Source organism: Homo sapiens, chromosome 1 (assembly GCF_000001405.40).
Source record: "Homo sapiens chromosome 1, GRCh38.p14 Primary Assembly".
Classification (NCBI taxonomy): Eukaryota; Metazoa; Chordata; class Mammalia; order Primates; family Hominidae; genus Homo; species Homo sapiens.
Genome location: NC_000001.11, coordinates 48,302,467 through 48,323,165, shown reverse-complemented (window position 1 = coordinate 48,323,165; position 20,699 = coordinate 48,302,467). Strand labels below are relative to the sequence as shown.

The 20,699-nt window shown below is 36.2% G+C and overlaps 1 protein-coding gene across 19 annotated transcripts in view; it reads left to right on the top strand.

Moving 5' to 3' along the window:
* SPATA6 (spermatogenesis associated 6) overlaps positions 1 to 20,699 on the top strand; it is a 210,816-nt gene that overhangs the window by 149,039 nt on the left and 41,078 nt on the right. For 16 of the 19 annotated variants that reach the window (XM_047422913.1, XM_047422901.1, XM_006710699.4 and 13 more), the window contains one exon: positions 17,288 to 17,379. The exons of 2 other annotated variants lie outside the window; for them this stretch is intronic. In XM_047422913.1, coding sequence (XP_047278869.1) covers positions 17,288 to 17,379 — 92 coding nt within the window. Of the gene's footprint in view, positions 1 to 17,287; positions 17,380 to 20,699 lie in introns of those variants that run through there. One more of the 19 variants, XM_047422900.1, reaches the window with a different exon arrangement.

The window sequence follows — 20,699 nt, the reverse complement described above, 5'->3', positions numbered from 1 at the left end:
TGGTTCCAAGACTTTGCTCTTATGAACAGTGCTGCAGTAAACATGTGTGCATGTGTCTTTATAGTAGAATGATTTATAATCCTTTGGGTATATACCCAGTAATGGGATTGCTGGGTCAAATGGTATTTCTAGTTCTAGATCCTTGAGGAATTGGCACACTGTCTTCCACAGTGGTTGAAGTAACTTACACTCCTACCAACAGTGTAAAAGGGTTCCTATTTCTCTACATCCTCTCCAGCATCTGTTATTTCGTGACTTTTTAATGATCGCCATTCTAACTGGCATGAGATGATATCTCATTGTGGTTTTGATTTGCATTTCTCTAATGACCAATGATGATGAGCATTTTTTCATAAGTTTGTTGGCTGCATAAATGTCTTCTTTTGAGAAGTGTCTGTTCATATCCTTCACCCATTTTTTGATGGGGTTGTTTGTTTGTTTTCTTGTAAATTTGTTTAAGTTCTTTGTAGATTCTGGATATTAGACCTTTGTCAGATGGATAGATTGCAAAAATTTTCTCCTATTCTGTAGTTTGCCTGTTCACACTGATGACAGTTTCTTTTGCTGTGCAGAAGCTCTTTAGTTTAATTAGATGCGATTTGTCTATTTTGGCTTTTGTTGCCATTGCTTTTTGGGTTTTAGTCATGAAGACTTTGCCCATGCCTATGTCCTGAATGGTATTGCTGAGGTTTTCCTCTAGGGTTTTTATGGTTTTAGGTTTTACATGTAAGTCTGTAATCCATCTTGAGCTAATTTTTATATAAGGTGTAAGGAAGGGATCCAGTTTCATCTTTCTGCATATGGCTAGCCAGTTTTCCCAGCCCCATTTATTATATAGGGAATCATTTCCCTATTGCTTGTTTTTGTCAGATTTGTCAAAGATCAGATGGTTGTAGATATGTGGTGGTATTTCTGAGGCCTCTGTTCTACTTTGTTCATCTTTTGTATTGTTTTATTTAATTCAACTTTATTTATTTCTTCTCTTTGGTATTTCTTTACTTCTACTAATTTTGGCTTTGGTTTTTTCTTGCCTTTCTAGTTCTTTAAGATGCATCATTAGGTTGTTCATTTGAAGAATTTTGTCTTTTTTTTCCCACCTACTTGTCGTCTTTTTAAATGTAGGCGCTTACTGCTATAAGCTTTCCTCTTAGTACTGCTTTTGCTGTATCCCATAGATTTTGGTATGTTGTATTTTCATGTACATTTACTTTAAGAAATTTTAAAATTTTCTTCTTAATATGTTTATTGACTCACTGGTTATCCAGGAGCATGTTGTTTAATTTCCATCTGTTGGTGTAGTGTCCAAAATTTCTCTTGTTATTGATTTCCAGTTTTATTCCATTGTGGTCAGAGAAGACACATGATATAATTTCAACTTTTTAAGACTTGTTTTGGGGCCTGACATATGATTCACCCTTGAGAATGATCCATGTGCTGAGGAGAAGAATCTGTATTCTGCAGCCCTTAGATGAACTGTTCTGTAAATATCTATTAGGTTTATTTAGGCTATAGTGCAGATTAAGTCTGGTATTTCTTTGCTGATTTTATGTCTGGATGTCTGTCTAGTACTGAAAGTGGAGTGTTGAAGTCCCCATCTATTACTGTATTGGGATCTATCTCTTTAGCTCTAATAATATTTGCTTTATATATCTGGTTGCTCCAATGTTGGATGATATATATTTATAATTGTTACATCCTCTTGCTGAATTGATTGCTTTATCATTATATAGTGAACTTGTCTCTTTTTATAATTTGTATCTTGAAATCTATTTCATCTGATATCAGTTTAGCTACTTCTACTCTTTTTTGATTTCCATTTGCATGAAATCTTTTCCCATTCCTTTGTTTTCAGTCTGTGTGTGTCCTTATGGATGCAGTGTGTTTCTTGTAGGCAAGAAATTGTTGATTATTGTTGTTGTTGTTGTTGTTTTTAATTTATTTCACCACTCCATTTCTTTTGAGCGGAGAAGTCTGTCCATTTTCATTCAGTGTTATTATTGATAAGTAAAGACTTACTTCTGCCATTTTTGTTGTTTCCTGGTTGTTCTGTGGTCTTATCTTCCTTCTTTTCTTCCTGTCTTCCTGTTAGTGAAGGTGATTTTCTCTGACGGTGTGTTTCAATTTTTTGCCCTTTATTTTTTGTGTTATGTTGTATTATTTTAGATTTGAAGTTAACATGAGGCTTACAAATAATATGTCATAACCCTTTGTTTTAAACTGATGACAACTTAACACTGATTGCTTAAATAAACAAGCAAAAAGAAAATGAATAAAAACTCCACACTTTAATTTCATCTCCCCTCTTTTTAACTTTTTGTTTTTCCTATTTTTATCTTACTTTACTGTCTATGTCTTGAAAAGTCGTTGTCTTCATTATTTCTGATAGGTTCATCTTTTAGTATTTCTACTGAAGATATAAGTAGTTTGCCACAGTTAGTGTTATAATATGCTGTGTTTTTCTGTGTGCTTACTATTACCAATAAGTTTTATACCTTCAGATGATTTGTTATTGCTCATTAACATCCTTTTCTTTCATATTGAAGAACTTCCTTTTGCATTTCTCATAGGACAGGTCTGCTGTTGACGAAGTCCCTCAGCTCTTGTTTGTCTGGGAAAGTCTTTATTTCTCCTTAATGTTTGAAAGATCTTTTTGCCAGATATACTATTCTACAATACAAGGTTTTCCTTCAGCACTTTAAATACATGTTGCTACCCTTTCCTGGCCTGTAAGGTTTCCACTGAGAAGTCAGCTTGCTGCCGGATGTTTTGGAGTTCATTTGTGTGTTACTTGTTTTTCTCTTGCTGCTTTTTGGATCTTTTCTGTATCTTTGGTATTCGGCAGTTGGATTGTAAAATGTCTTGAGGTAGTCTTAGTTGGGTTAAATCTTCTTGGTTTGCTATAACCCTCTTGTACTTGATTACCAATATCTTTATCTAGGCTTTGGAAGTTCTCTGTTATTATCCCTTTGAATAAACTTTCTACCCTATCTCTTTTTCTACCTCCTCTTTAAGGCCAATATCTCTTAGATTTGTCCTTTTGAGACTATTTGAGCAATGGTGGTGACTGTTGTAGGAGACAAAGGGCTCATCAACAGCCTCTGGGGACTGGGCTCTCAGAGAAATGCTGAGCTGCAGTGGTAGTCCACAGGCGGGGAAGGGTGGCTGCACTGGGGGCATGACACTAAGGCAGGGGTGCCTTTTTCTGCAGGGAGCAGTGGAAGTGGGAAGTTGCACAGTGCATAGTTTGCCCTCTTCTCCATACTGTGGATGTGGTATCTGTCTTTGGGGCATGTGAAAGTGCTCGGCCTTCCTCCTTGGTTGGGTGCAGCAGTTGTCACCGGGATGCTCAGGGATCACAAGCCTGTGGGATTCCACCTGGGCTTGAGCAGTGCCTGTACACAATCTCCAGGTGGCTCGCTGTGTTAGTCTGGAGGTGTTGGAGCAGGGGTGCAGGGTCAACAGGGCTCTGCAGTGAATAGGATTACAATGTTCTGTGATGGAAGGGTGGAATACTGAGGATCTCTTATTTAGTCATCCCTTTCCTGCTTTAGGGAACCTTTCCTAGCTCTGCGCCAGTCCTGCTTGGAGGGCTGCCTGACTTCACTATCTTCTTTCCTTGATTTTCATGGCTTCTCTGGTGAATTTCATTGTGCTCTCTTAGACAATCTACTTGAAGTGTTAGCATTTCCTTGCTATTTTGATTGCTCTCCATGACAGAGGCGCTCACTAGCTGCTTATAGTTATCTGCCTTATTACTGGATTTTGAGAGCTCTTTATATATTCTGAGTACAAGTCCCATCTTAGATAATAAGGTTTGCAAATATATTCTTATGTTTGTGGTTTGTCTTCCACCTTCCTAATACTGTGTTTTGAAGCATAAAAGTTTTTAAAATTTTGATGAAATCCAACTTTTCTATGTTTTCTTTGGTTACTTTTGCTTAGGATATCTCAGAAATTGTTGCTTAGTCTAGGGACATAAAAATTTATGCCTATGTTTTCTAAGAGTTTTACAGTATTGGCCTTTACATTTAGGTCATTGATCAATTTTGAGTTGATTTTTGTATTTTGTGTGAGATAGAGAGTCCAAATTAATTCTTTTTCATGTGGAAATCTGGTTGTCACAGCACCATTTCTTAAAAAGATTGCTCCCCCATTGAATTGTCTTGGCATCTTTATAAAAAAATCAGTTGACTATAAATGTATGGGTTTATTTCTGGATTCTTAATTCTGTTTCATTGATCTATATATCTGTCCTTATGCTATTATCATACTATTTTGATTGTGATGGCTTTTGTAGTAAATTTTGATATCAGGAATTGTTAGTCTTCCACCTTTTCTTCTTTTTCAAGAATAACTATTCTAGGTCCTTTGCATTTCTGTATGAATTTTAGGATCAACTTTTCAATTTTTGCAAGAAAACTGTGGCCGGAATTGTATAGGAATTGTGTTAGCTCTCTAGATCATTTTGGAGGATATTGCTTTCTTAATAATAATTGTTTAAATATCTTTTGATCTGTGAAGATAGCACTTTAAAAATTTATTTATGTCATCTTATATGAAATATGTTTTATAGTTCAGTGTTCATTTTAAGCCATTAAAAAATCAAGTTTACTCCTAAGTATTTTGTTATTTTTGATGCTATTTTACATGGTATTGTTTCCTTAATTTTATTTTCAGATTGTTTATTGATAGTGTTTAGGAATACAATGCATTTTCATATGTTAATCTTAAATCCTGAAATCTTGCTGAACTTATTAGCTCTAATAGTTATTTTGTGTATTTGTGTGGAATTTTTAAAATACAGAATCATCTTATCTGCAAATAGAAATATTTTTATTTCCTTTCTGATCTTGATTTCTCTTATGTCATATTCTTGGCTAATTGTTCTGGATAGCACCCCCAATATACTGCTGAATAGAAGTGGGGAGAGTGCCCATCCTTGTTTTATTCCTGATCTTAGAAGATTTCACTCCTTTAAAAATAAGTATGCTATTAACTATATGTTTTTAACAGATGGCATTTACCATCTTGAGGAATTTCCTTCTACTCCTAGTTTGTTGAATGTTCTTGGTATTTGTCAAATGCTTTCCCTGCATCTATTGAGATGATCCTATCATTTTGTCCTTTATTCTGTTAATATGACCTTACATTGATTGAATTTTATATGAGTCAACCTTGCATTCTTTGGATAATTCCCAGTTGGTTGTGGTGTATAATTCTTTTTATGTCTTGCTGGATTTGGCTTGCTAGTATTTTACTGAGAAATTTTGCATCTGTATTCATAAAATGTATTGGTTTTCAGGGTTTTTTTAAATTGTGCTTTTGGTATCAAAGGAATAAAGACCTTATAGAATGAGTTGGTGAGTTCTTCTTCCTCTTAAATTTTTGGGAAGAAGTTGTAAAGATTTGGTGTTCTTTCTTCTTAAATATATAACACCATGAAGCCATGTGCTTTTGAGCTCTTCTTTGTGTTAAGTTTTTTATTTTTTTTTTACTTTAAGTTTTAAGGTACATGTGCACAACGTGCAGGTTTGTTACATATATATACATGTGCTATGTTGGTGTGCTGCACCCATTAACTCATCATTTAACATTAGGTATATCTCCTAATGCTATCCCTCCCCTCTCCCCCCACCCCACAACAGGCCCCAGTGTGTGATGTTCCCCTTCCTGTGTCCATGTGTTCTCATTGTTCAGTTCCCACCTGTGAGTGAGAACATGCGGTGTTTGGTTTTTTGTCCTTGCAATAGTTTGCTGAGAATGATGGTTTCCAGCTTCATCCATGTCCCTACAAAGGACATGAACTCATCATTTTTTATGGCTGCATAGTATTCCACAGTGTATATGTGCCACATTTTCTTAATCCAGTCTATCATTGTTGGACATTTGGGTTGGTTCCAAGTCTTGCTATTGTGAATAATGCCGCGATAAACATATGTGTGCATGTGTCTTTATCACAGCATGATTTATAATCCTTTGGGTATATACCCAGTAATGGGATGGCTGGGTCAAATGGTATTTCTAGTTCTAGATCCCTGAGGAATCACCACACTGACCTCCACAATCGTTGAACTAGTTTACAGTCCCACCAACAGTGTAAAAGTGTTCCTATTTCTTCACATCTTTCCAGCACCTGTTGTTTCCTGACTTTTTAATGATTGCCATTCTAACTGGTGTGAGATGGTATCTCATTGTGGTTTTGATTTGCATTTCTCTGATGGCCAGTGATGATGAGCATTTTTTCATGTGTCTGTTGGCTGCATAAATGTCTTCTTTTGAGAAGTGTCTGTTCATATCCTTTGCACACTTTTTGATGGGGTTGTTTTTTTCTTGTAAATTTGTTTTAGTTCATTGCAGATTCTAGATATTAGCCCTTTGTCAGATTAGTAGATTGCAAAAATTTTCTCCCATTCTGTGGGTTGCCTGTTCACTCTGATGGTAGTTTCTTTTGCTGTGCAGAAGCTCTTTAGTTTAATTAGATCCCATTTGTCAATTTTGGCTTTTGTTGCCACTGCTTTTGGTGTTTTAGACATGAAGTCCTTGCTCATGCCTATGTCCTGAATGGTATTGCCTAGGTTTTCTTCTAGGGTTTTTATGGTTTTAGGTCTAACAAGTAAGTCTTTAATCCATCTTGAATTAATTTTTGTATAAGGTGTAGGAAGGGATCCAGTTTCAGCTTTCTAAATATGGCTAGCCAGTTTTCCCAGCACTATTTATTAAATAGGGAATCCTTTCCCCATTTTTTGTTTTTGTCACGTTTGTCAAAGATCAGATAGTTGTAGATATGCGGCATTATTTCTGAGGGCTCTGTTCTGTTCCATTGGTCTATATCTCTGTTTTGGTACCAGTACCATGCTGTTTTGGTTACTGTAGCCTTGTAGTATAGTTTGAAGTCAGGTAGCGTGATGCCTCCAGCTTTGTTCTTTTGGCTTAGAATTGACTTGGTAATGCGGGCTCCTTTTTGTTTCCATATGAACTTTAAAGTAGTTTTTTCCAATTCTATGAAGAAAGTCACTGGTAGCTTGATGGGGTTGGCATTGAATCTGTAAATTACCTTGGGCAGTATGGCCATTTTCATGATATTGATTCTTCCTACCCGTGAGCATGGAATGTTCTTCCATTTGTTTGTATCTTTTATTTCCTTGAGCAGTGGTTTGTAGTTCTCCTTGAAGAGGCCCTTCACATCCCTTTTAAATTGGTTTCGAAGTATTTTATTCTCTTTGAAGCAGTTGTGAATGGGAGTTCACTCATGATTTGGCTCTCTGTTTGTTCTTGGTATATAAGAATCCTTGTGATTTTTTCACATTGATTTTGTATCCTGAAACTTTGCTGACGTTGCTTATCAGCTTAAGGAGATTTTGGGCTGAGATGATGGGGTTTTCTAGATATACAATCATGTCAGCTGCAAACAGGGACAATTTGACTTCCTCTTTTCCTAATTGAATACCCTTTATTTCCTTCTCCTGCCTCATTGCCGTGGCCAGAACTTCCAACACTATGTTGAATAGGAGTGGTGAGAGAGGGCATCCCTGTCTTGTGCCAGTTTTCAAAGGGAATGCTTCCAGTTTTTGCCCATTCAGTATGATATTGGCTGTGGGTTTGTCATAGATAGCTCTTATTATTTTGAGATACATCCCATCAATACCTAATTTATTGAGAGTTTTTAGCATGAAGGTTGTTGAATTTTGTCACAGGCCTTTTTTGCATCTATTGAGATAATCATGTCGTTTTTGTCTTTGGTTCTGTTTATATGTTGGATTATGTTTATTGATTTGTGTATGTTGAACCAGGCTTGCATCCCAGGGATGAAGCCCACTTGATCATGATGGATAAGTTTTTGATGTGTTGCTGGATTCAGTTTGCCTGTATTTTATTGAGGATTTTTGCATCTATGTTCATCAGGGATATTGGTCTAAAATTCTCTTTTTTGTTATGTCTCTGCCAGGCTTTGGTATCAGGATGATGCTCGCCTCATAAAATGAGTTAGGGAGGATTCCCTCTTTTTGTGTTGATTGGAATAGTTTCAGAAGGAATGGTACCAGCTCCTCCTTGTACCTCTGGTAGAATTCGGCTGTGAATCCGTCTGGTCCTGGGCTTTTTTTGTTTGGTAAGCTATTAATTATTGCCTCAATTTCAGAGCCTGTTATTGGTCTATTCAGAGATTCAGCTTCTTCCTGGTTTAGTCTTGGGAGGGTGTATGTGTCAAGGATTTATCCATTTATTCTAGATTTTCTAGTTTATTTGCATAGAGGTGTTTATAGTATTCTCTGATGGTAGTTTGTATTTCTGTCGGATCGGTGGTGATATCCCCTTTATCATTTTTTTATTGCGTTTATTTGATTCTTCTCTCTTTTCTTCTTTATTAGTGTTGCTAGCGGTCTATCAATTTTGTTGATCTTTTCAAAAAACCAGCTCCTGGATTCATTGATTTTTTGAAGGGTCTTTTGTGTCTCTGTCTCCTTCAGTTCTGCTCTGATCTTAGTTATTTCTTGTCTTCTGCCAGGTTTTGAATGTGTTTGCTCTTGCTTCTGTAGTTCTTTTAATTGTGATGTTAGAGTGTCAATTTTAGATCTTTCCTGCTTTCTCTTGTGGGCATTTAGTGCTATAAATTTCCCGCTACACAGTGCTTTAAATGTGTCCCAGAGATTCTGGTATGTTGTGTCTTTGTTCTTATTGGTTTCAAAGAACATCTTTATTTCTGCCTTCATTTCATTATGTACCCAGTAGTCATTCAGGAGCAGGTTGTTCAGTTTCCATGTAGTTGAGCGGTTTTGAGTGAGTTTCTTAATCCTGAGTTCTAGTTTGATTGCACTGTGGTCTGAGAGACAGTTTGTTATAATTTCTGTTCTTTTACATTTGCTGAGGAGTGCTTTACTTCCAACTATGTGGTCAGTTTTGGAATAGGTGTGGTGTGGTGCTGAAAAGAATGTATATTCTGTTGATTCGGGGTGGAGAGTTCTGTAGATGTCTATTAGGTCTGCTTGGTGCAGAGCTGAGTTCAATTCCTGGATATCCTTGTTAACTTTGTGTCTCGTTGATCTGTCTAATGTTGACAGTGGGGTGTCAAAGTCTCCCATTATTATTGTGTGGGAGTCTAAGTCTCTTTGTAGGTCTCTAAGGACTTGCTTTATGAATCTTGATGCTCCTGTATTGGGTGCATATGTATTTAGGATAGTTAGCTCTTCTTGTTGAATTGATCCCTTTACCATTATGTAATGGGCTTCTTTGTCTCTTTTTATCTTTGTTGATTTAAAGTTTGTTTTATCAGAGACTGGGATTGCAACCCCTGCCTTTTTTTGTTTTCCATTTGCTTGATCTTCCTCCATCCCTTTATTTTGAGCCTATGTGTGTCTCTGCACATAAGATGGGTCTCCTGAGTACAGCACACTGATGGGTCTTGACTCTTTATCCAGTTTGCCAGTCTGTGTCTTTTAATTGGAATATTTAGCCCATTTACATTTAATGTTAATATGGTTATGTGTGAATTTGATCCTGTCATTATGATGTTATCTGGTTATTTTGCTCATTAGTTGATGCAGTTTCTTCCTAGCCTCGATGGTCGTTACAATTTGGCATGTTTTTGCAGTGGCTGGTACCAGTTGTTCCTTTCGATGTTTAGTGCTTCCTTCAGGAGCTCTTTTAGGGCAGGCCTGGTGGTGACAAAATCTCTCAGCATTTGCTTGTCTGTAAAGGATTTTATTTCTCCTTCACTTATGAAGCTTAGTTTGGCTGGATATGAAATTCTGGGTTGAAAATTCTTTTCTTTAAGAATGTTGAATATTGGCCCCCACTCTCTTCTGGCTTGTAGAGTTTCTGCCAAGAGATCAGCTGTTAGTCTGATGGGCCTCCCTTTGTGGGTAACCCGACCTTTCTCTCTGGCTGCCCTTAACATTTTTGCCTTCATTTAAACTTTGGTGAATCTGACAATTATGTGTCTTGGAGTTGCTCTTCTCGAGGAGTATCTTTGTGGCATTCTCTGTATTTCCTGAATTTGAATGTCAGCCTGCATTGCTAGACTGGGGAAGTTCTCCTGGAAAATATCCTGTGGAGTGTTTTCCAACTTGGTTCCATTCTCCCCGTCACTTTCAGGTACACCAATCAGACACAGATTTGGTCTTTTCACATAGTCCCATATTTCTTGGAGGCTTTGTTAGTTTCTTTTTATTTATTTTTTTCTCTAAACTTCTCGCTTCATGTCATTCATTTGATCTTCCATCACTGATGCCCTTTCTTACAGTTGATTGAATCAGCTACTGAGGCTTGTGCATTCGTCACGTTTGTCTCTTGCCGTGGTTTTCAGCTCCATCAGGTCCTTTAAGGACTTCTCTGCATTGGTTATTGTAGTTAGCCATTCGTCTAATCTTTTTTCAAGGTTTTTAACTTCTTTGCCATGGGTTCTAACTTCCTCCTTTAGCTTGGAGTCGTTTGATCATCTGAAGCCTTCTTCTCTCAACTCGTCAAATTCATTCTCCATCCCACTTTGTTCCGTTGCTGGTGAGGAGCTGCATTCCTTTGGAGGAGGAGAGGTGCTCTGATTTTTAGAATTTTCAGTTTTTCTGCTCTGTTTTTTCCCCATCTTTGTGGTTGTATCTGCCTTTGATCTTTGATGATGGTGACGTACAGATGGGTTTTTGGTTTGGGTGTCCTTTCTTTTTGTTAGTTTTCCTTCTAGCAGTGAGGACCCTCAGCTGCAGGTCTGTTGGAATTTGCTGGAGGTCCATTCCAGACCCTATTTGCCTGGGTATCAGCAGCGAAGACTGCAGAACAGCGGATCTTGGTGAACAGCAAATGTTGCTGCCTGATCTTTCCTCTGGAAGTTTTGTCTCAGAGTAGTCAGTCTGCCCCTACTGGGGGGTGCCTCCCAGTTAGGCTGCTCGGGTGTCAGGGACCCACTTGAGGAGGTAGTCTGTCCATTCTCTTTATCTCCAGCTGCATGCTGGGAGAACCACTACTCTCTTCAAAGATGTCAGACAGGGACATTTAAGTCTGCAGAGGTTTCTGCTGCCTTTTGTTTCGCTATTCCCTGCCCCCAGAGGTGGAGTCTACAGTGGGAGGCAGGCCTCCTTGAGCTGTGGTGGGCTCCACCGAGTTTGAGCTTCCTGGCCGCTTTGTTTACCTACTCAAGCCTGGGCAATGGGCGCCCCTCCCCCAGCCTCGCTGCCACCTTGCAGTTTTATCTCAGACTGTTGTGGTAGCAATGAGTGAGGCTCCGTGGGCGTAGGACCCTCCAAGCCAATCGCGGGATACAATCTCCTGGTGTGCCGTTTGCTAAGACCATTGGAAAAGCACAGTATTAGGGTGGGAGTGACCCGAATTTCCAGGTACCATCTGTCACCCTTTTCCTTGGCTAGGAAAGGGAATTCCCTCACCCCTTGTACTTCCCGGGGGAGGTGATGCCTTGCCCTGCTTCGGCTCACGCTCGGTGCACTGCACCCACTGTCCTGCACCCACTGTCCGACAGTCCCTAGTGAGATGAACCTGGTACCTCAGTTGGAAATGCAGAAATCATTTGTCTTCTGTGTCGCTCACGTTGGGAGCTGTAGACTGGAGGTGTTCCTATTCAGCTATCTTGGCTCCCTAAGTTTTTTTAATTTAAGTTTTTTTGATTACTAATTCACTCTCTTTCTTTATTATAGGTGTATTCAGATTTCCTGTTTCTTCTTGGATCTGTTTAAATAGTTTTTATCTTTCTAGTAATTTGTTCTTTTATTTATAGATACCATTCTAGACAATTCTATAATTATTTTGGTTTACAATTATTTCATGCATTTCCTTATTACCCTTTTTATTTCTGTAAGATCTCTAGTAATGTCCCATTTTTCATTCCTGATGTTAGTAATTAGAGCCTTGGTCTAACTAAAACATTGTCAAATGTTTTATGGTTTCAAAGAAGCAACTTTGGTTTTCATTGGTTTTATCCAGTTTTCTATTTTTGATCTCATTTATTTCCATCCTAATGTTTGTATTTTACTTGTTTTGGATTTGGTTTGATGTTCTTTTTCTAGTTTTTGAAGTAAAAGCTTTGGGTTATTGATTTGAGGTCTTCTTTTTTCATGTAGGTGTTTATAGCCATGTTCCTCTAGAAGCACTGCCTCATTTTCATTATTAAGTTTTATATGTTTTGTTATATTTTAAATTTCTCTTGAAGCATTTTCTAGTGTCCCTTGTGCTGTTTTATTTGGCCTACTGATCATTTAGTAGTATATTGTTTGATTTCTACATATTTATTAATTACCCAAATTTTCTTCTGCTATTATTCTCTAATTTCATGTTATTGTGGCCAGGTAACATATTTTGTATGATTTCAGTTCTTTCAAATTTATTGAAACTTGTTTTATAGCCTAACATTCTTCAAGAATTTTTCATATGCACTTGAAAAGAATATGTATTTTGCTATCGTTGGGTGGAATGTTCTATAGATGTTGTTAGGTCTGGTTGATTTATATTGTTGTTTAGGTCTTCCATTTACTGGTTGATCTTCTGCCTGATTGTTCTGTTCATTGTTGAAAAATCAAATATTGCTGTCTTCGAACTGTACACACATCCTGTTGGTTCTGTTTTCTCTAGAGAATCCTGACAAATACAGCATGAGAGTAAAAAACTCCTTGGGGCCAGAGTCCTAGGGGGCTCTCACAAGTTCATACACTTTATCTCTAGAAACTCAAGCAAATGCTTCAACATGAAAAACAGCTAAATATTGGTAGGGACAGTAAGTTTTATGGCATTTTAACTTGACCGAGTCCCATCTCCTGCTCTCTAGCTGCATAGTAGGCTTGATAACCAACATGTCACAATCTCAGTGAAAACCAAAATTTTGGCAGGCACTGTTAGAGGTAAAATAAAGTTAGGATTTCTTCAAAGACCATTCCCAGAGAATTGTAATTACTTGACTTGCTGGAGATTGCCTGGAAGACCCCACTTTGAGTGAGAGCTTTCCCAGTGCAAAATCTTTGCCCTGGAGGGCATTTTTAAAAGAAATAATTACAGGCAATTGTTAAACCTCATTGCCAACTGAAATGGTGGATAGCCATTGAATTAAACAATAGACCAATGAAAAACCTTCAAAGAAAAAGCTGAATGTGTGCATAGGGGGCTTTGAAAAGCTACCACACATTCCTGGGATTTTAGAATACCACTCATATTTGTAGGACTGTGCATATGTCCAAGGCTATGTACTTGATTAGAAAAGACAAGAAGGCCCTTAGCTTTCAATTCCAGCCTACCTTAAGGCTCTGCATAAACAATCAGTTACGGCTTAGGCTAAGTGTTGAAAGTGTACTCTCAACATACAGAGCTGCTCAGCAAACACTGGGAGACTTAATGGTTCTAAGCGTTTATAGAAATGTCTGTCCAATCATTACTTGATGACTCAGCTAACAGAATAGAGATATCAGTGATCACCCACAAAAAGGAATGTTGACTTTGCAGAACTAAGTCAGAAAATCACTATGCTAATAACTAGAATAAACAACAACAATAAACAGTGGAAATGGAGAAAACAATGAATAGGAACTGTCCTTGAGGATCTTACACATTGGACTCACTAAACAAAGACCATAAATCAGTTATGTTAAATATAGTTATTCAAAGAACCAAAAGAAAGCATTTATAAAGAAATAAAGTGTTAGAATTATGTCTCATAAAATATAAAATTTCAATCAAAAGTTATAAACTATTTTTTAAGTAACCAAATAGAAATCCTGAAGTTGACAAGTACATATTCAGAAATGAAAATTTTTTGAAATGAAAATCTCCAGAAATGAAAAATTTATTAGAAGGACTCATTGGCACCCTACGAGCAGGCAGAAGAAAATATTATTGGACTTGAAGACAAGTCAAATGAGATAATTCAGTGTGAGGAACAGAAAGAAGAATAAAAATAATGAACACATAAGGATTTGTGGGATACCATTAAGCATGCCAACATACTGTAATAAGAATTCCAGAAAAAGAGGGAGAAAGGAAGGGACAGAAGGAATATTTGGAGAAATAATGGTCCTTGCCAAATTGAAGAAAATTATTATCTAAGGAGCTCAATAAACTCTTAAGTAGGATAAACTCAAATAGATCCACACTTGAGACTCATTATAAACCGTAAGTCTGAAGCCAAAGATAAGCCTGGCATTGTGGCAAGTACCTGTAATCCCTAATATTCAGAAGGTTGAAATGGGAGAATCACTTGAGCCCAGGAGTTCAAGGCTACAGTGAGCTATGATTTCGCCACTGCATTTCAGCCTGGGTGACAGAGTTAGACCCTATATCTAGAAAAAAAGTGTTTTGAAAAAAGCCAGAGTCAAAAAGAGAATCTTAAAAGCAGCAAGGGAGAAGGAATTCATCACATAAATGTGTTCCTCAATAAGATTTAAAACTGGTTTAAATCAGAAACTGTGGAGTCCAAAAGGCAGTGTAATGATATATTCAATGTACTGAAAAGGAAAGAACTCTCAACCATGAATATCCAGCAAAACTGTCTTTCAAAAATATGGAATAAATTAGCATTCTCAAATAAAACCAAGTTTATCACTAGCAGATCTGCACTACAAGAAATACTAAAAGGAGCTCTTCAGGATGAAGTGAAAGGACACTAGACAGTAGCTCAGATTCACATGAAGAAATAAAGAGCAATGATAATGGTAACTAGGTAAATATAAAAGATAGGCTAAATACAGTTTTTGCCAGTAACTCTTTAGTTCTTATATCTGATTTAAGAGATGACCTCACAAAACAATAATTATAAATATTTGTTGGTAGGAACATAGTATATAAAGATGTAATTTATGTAAAAATAGCAATTAAAAGGGGAGGGACTGTAAACATGTAAGAGCAAAGTTTCCATATCCCGTTGAAATTAAGTTGATATCATCTAAACTTAGATTCTTCTGTATTAAGATGTTATTTGTAATCCTCATGGAAAGTAGTAAGAAAATGTCTCAAAAATATAGTGTATAGGGAATTAAAAATGAACCCTGGAAAATATCTAACACAAAAGAAGGCAACGATGGAGAAATGAAAAAAGACATAGAAAATAGCAAAATGGCAAATGTAAATCATATAGGTATGTAAACATACCTATAGGTGGTTCATGATATTTAAAATATTAAACACTCCAATTAGGAGGTAGAATTTTGGAGACTGGATAAAAATCGTGATTATACTATATTCTGTCTACAAGAGATGCACTTTAGATTCAAAGGCACAAATAAGTTCAGTGTAAAAGAAAACAAAAGCATAGCATTCAGCATAAGAGAATTGCAGTGGCTACACAAATATTGGACAAATAGACTTTAAGAGAATTTTTTTCTTACTAATACTAAAGACAAATAAAAATATTTTATAACGGCAACAGGGCCAAACCATCAGGAAGATATGACCATTACAAATATATATGCACTTAAAAGAGATCCCAAAAATATAAGGAAAAACTGATAGAATAGAAAGAAGAAATAGATATGCAATATAATAGAGACCTCAGTATCCCATATTCACCAGTGGATAGGACAGACAGAAGATAAATAAGGAAATATTCCTTCCAGATATGTCACATTATATTACTTAAAATTTCCACATGTCTACACAAAATTACAAGATGTGCAACAAAGCAAGAAAGACCAATACATAGTTAATAGCTTATAATAAGATGTGATCCTTGTTGCCTCCTTGTTTGTGAATAACTTGTCCTTTGAAAAAATAATCTATACAGGGACTCTTACAAAAGATGGGTCCTTGTATAGATTATTTTTTCAAAGGGCAAGTTATATATATATGAATATAAATGTATATGATTATATATAAACATAAATATATAATTATATATATATAAAATATCACAAAATATAGTCTGAAAATTTGAAAGGAATAACTTTTAAGCTAATCTGTTCCTTTTTGTTTCTCAGGTCTGAATACCCCTATATGATATCCTTGATCTAGATGGGCATCATCACTCCACAGGAATAGTTTTAGTAGTTGTATTTTTACTCCCTTTAAGACAGCTATCCTTTTTATTTCGTTTCTTTGCCAAGTCTTTCACACTCACTACAGGCAATTACATTTTCTTTGATAATACAGTAAATGCTCCACTGCATTGACTTCTCGGAATAGGTAAAAATAAGGAACATCCAATAATATGCCATTCAAGAAAAAGATCTAATAGTAAGGAATGGCTGAAAATAAAAGGACAAATATATACCATTAAAGCACTAACTAAAAGAAAGTGGTTGTATCTATATGAATAGTAGACCAAATAAGTTAAGGGAAAAAAAAGCAGTTACAGAAATAAAGGCTACTTCATAATGATAAAACCGAGAAACTATAACAATTCTAAATTTGTATGCATATTTTCTGTGATTTTTAAACAAGCTCTATCATTTATTGCACACGTTTACACATAATGCTCTCTTCCTAGTTTCATGCCATCAGCAAATTTTTAAAATCATTTTTCTTCACAATGTGCATTCAGCTGATTTCTTACATAAAGTGAATGAACCCCTTACTAATACTAATCCTTATTTGTGCTTACTAGTTTCTTTTGTTATCAGTTCTGTTTATTTCTCTTCTTGTTTGACTAAGGAACACAAGGATATTGGCTAGTAGTTGAAAAAGATATTTGGTATTAAATTATATACCATTACCACACATATGAATTTAACTGTGAATGATATAGTTAACAAAGCCATCTCTTCAGAATACTATTTCTTATGTCCTTGTATGTGTCTATTAGAAATTAAGAACAGGCTGCCCATACAAGGTGGGGGTAACCATATATTTTCATTCCAATTATCTTGCCTTTCATTTTTGCCTTTTCTGGCTTGTTATTTTGGCTTTTGATTTTGCATTTTGGCTTTTGATTAATAAGTCTAAGCCATTTCCTTTGTAAGTCATAGGTGCATGTTAGAATGCTTGTATCTACATAATTTTCTCAAATACTTATTCCTCAAAATGCAGGTACAATCTCTTGAGTTCATATAACAATGTATAAGATAATGTTAATTTACATATCATGACACAGGATTCATTCCTCTATTTTTATGGATTCAAGAGGTATCTACTGGATACCTAGTCTTTGATAAGCAATATTAGCAAAAACTATAATAAAACTGTATTGTTTTGTTGAAAAGGATAGTAAATCATCACTTAACCTTTTTCCCCCCAAAGAAACACTAGCATTTAATTCCCTTTCTTATGAATTAAAATTTATAAAGGGAGGGGAAGAGCATTTTATGAAGAAACATATGCATCATTTTGGGGACAATGAGACAGTGAGTTAATGGAAATCTTTAAAATTTTTCAGGATGAGAGAGACCTAGAGAAAGATGATGAACTGGAACTGAAAAGAAGTCTTTTATGTAGAGACTCTGCCTATGACAGTGACCCCGAGTATAGGTATGAATGAAATATATGTATATCCTTCTCATAGTTCTGATAAAAATAACTGTTTTATAATATGCTGAATTTATGGGAAATTTAGACTCAAAAGGATAATTAGTATTTATTTCTAACTGTAAATTCCTATTAAAATTTTAATGTTTGCATTACTGAAACTTATCTGTAAAAACAAATATAGTCAATTATTGGTGATGCCCTTCATCCTACTTAAGATTTGTCTGCCCTGAAAACTCACATACTTCAGAATGTGTATTTATTTTAATATAAAAAATAGTTCTTATAATTTTACACCATGAACCAACCTTTTTTAATAATTTGAGATCAAATTCTGTAAGAGCAAATTCTATTCTCGCCTATAATTTGAGGAATGTTAATAATAACATTTGTACAAGTTTATATGAGCAAATTTCATCAAGATTTTTGACAGCTCTGTGTCAACTGACATAATTTTAATGCAGTATTAAAAAGTGTAAATTTTGGATTTATACAGCCAAACGTTCTTTGAATTCTTGGATGTTATACCACTAGTTACTGCAATATATAGCTTTCACCTTCCTGAGATTCCTGAGGAACAAACATAAGAAACAAAGCTCCAAAGAATGGAATATTTTTTAATTGCTAACTTGGGTTTTGCATTCAAATCTCTGATCTTTACTCTCGTAAGCTAGGCTAGACCATCTATGAACATGTGAGGACTTTTCCTTATGCCCCTTACACAGACTATAAGTGGGAGTGTGACTTCCTTTCTCAAAGTTATTGCCTCCCAAGCAAGAAGCAACCTAGGCCTCTCTTTAAACAGTTTATTATAGGTAAATTTGAAGGTGAAGCAATCCAAAGAAGAAAAGAAAGATTCAGAGGTACACACCCTGAGGAAGAGTATTTTTTACCGTTTGTTATTTTTCATTAAAGGCATATTCCCTAAATTGTTACATGGATTAGCATCCCGATTTTGGGTGCTTAACCCATATAATTAATTCTAATTTGGGCAAGAAGTGAGAAGAACTGATACAGGAAAGAGCCTCATTTTCAAATTATCTAAGTTGTTTTTAAAAAATATAGATTTCCACTTTTTACCCCCATAGATGCTGGTTCTTATATATAAGTAAGATGTGGAAATCTGTATTTTAAGAGATATCATGGGGCCAGGTGCAATGGCTCACGCCTGTAATCCCAGTGCTTTGGGAGGCCCCCATCGGAGGATCACTTGAGGCCAAGAGTTTGAGAATAGCCTGGGCAACATAGCAAGACCCTGTCTCTACAAAATAAATACAATAAAATAAAAAATGGGATATCATGGGTAATTCTAATGTAGGTAGATAAATACTACATTTTCAGAAGTGCTGCTGTCAATTTAAAGTTTGCCGTAAACCCCAATATTGGTTCTTTTTTCAGCTACCAAGCAGTGTTATTGATTAAGCTTTTGATCACCCTGAACAATTTGGTACCTCTCAAATGAGAGTTAAGCAGAGTGTCAGAAAAGTTCTGCTTACACATTTTTGAGATCACTTTATAATCTTTGCTGCTTCTCTTATATATATACTTGAATCAATTGGATGAAGTGGTCAGTCCTTCAAGACCTTTCAGAAGAGTATCTTTGATATTAGCTCCAGAAGCTATTGAAATGATTAGGATATTATTTTAGTTTTATCCTCAAGTAATATTATGCAGTAGGCCAAGAAGTCCTCCCGTTCTGCTTTCCATCTCAAAGGTTAGAGGAACTACACTCAAAGTAATCAACCTCCTTGCCAGCCTTGAGGTTTCTGTCAGCAGAAGTCAAGAGAGAGTTTGCAGTCTTGACTTACTATCAATCCTCTACAGATGCCGTTTGACACAGGCATCATGAAGAAGTTCGCATGAACCTCTGGAATGACTGAGTGAGGAGCTCAGCAAATCCTCTTCCCCCAAAGAAACAAACAGAACAGAATTGTCAAAAACAATTTAAGAACTCTTGGAATTGACCAAAAGCATATAACAAATTGAGAAGCATTTATCAAGAAAATCTACTGGTTATACTACCTAAAAGAAAGGAAATCAGCATATTGAAGAAATATCAGCACTCCCATATTTATTGTAGCATTATTCACAATAACAAAACTATGAAATCAACCTAAGTGCCCATCAGTGGATGAAAGCAGATGTGGAAAATATACACAATGGAATATTATTCAGCTATAAAAAAATGAAATCTTTTCATTAGCAACAACATGGATGGAACTAGAGGACATCATGTTAAGTGAAATAAGCCAGGCACAGAAAGACAAATGTTGCATGTTCTCATCTGTGGCAGCTAAAAAAGTTGATCTCATGGAAGTGGAGAGTAGAATGGTGATTACCAGGGACTGGGAAGGGGAGGAGGGAATAGAGGGTGAAGAGAGGTTGGTTAATGAGTAGAAAAATACAGTTATGAAGAAGGGTTAAGTTCTAGAGTTTGATAGCCCAGTAGGGTGACCATAGTTAACAAAAATTTGTTGTATATTTCACAATAGCTAGAAGAAAGATTTGGAATGTTTCCAATACAAAGAAGTGATAAATGTTTGAGGTGATATCCTAATTACCATGATTTGATTCACTACACATTGTATGCAGGCATCAAAATATCATATGTACCTTAGGAATATGTACAATTATTATGTATCGATTTAAAAATTAACTTTAAAAATTTACTGAATATCAGTAAGAACAGTTAGAGTCTGTGACATTATAACCTGGAGGTTCCATCCCCGTCTACCACTCCCCAGCTCCATGGCACAAAAGTTCTACTAGGGAAGTCATATTGAAATACTGGCAGCTTTGCTCCCAGAAATAACTAACTATATGGAGCAGAGCATGGGAAATTCCATTAACAGAAACAATAATGGTTTGTTGGCAAACAAGCAAGGGAGGACTGAAGTTTTAATACTACTTGGCAAACAAGCAGAGGAGGCCTGAAGTTTTAATACTGGTTGGGGCAGACAGTAAAGATCCTGAGAGAAGATAGCCACAGTTGGCTGGCCTTGATAAAGTTCTACTTATTCCTGGTTGGGTAGAAGATTATGTTTATGCATAAGGCTGTACATATGCATGAGAGATATTGGTGAAGGCCCTAATGAGCCACTAATTTATGGCTGAATGTGAAGCCTTGTGAAGGCAGAAAGTAAAATCCAGGGCAGAATTATAAACTAGATAAACTTTGAATATATTACCAAAGCCACATACAGATCCATTGGCAAAATATGGAAGCCTTATAGGCTTACTGGCTCTGACTAGTCATTTGCTGGCCACTAAGCTATGTTAACTCCGGGGTAGCCCCTGAGAAGCCAAGACAAGTACCACATGTT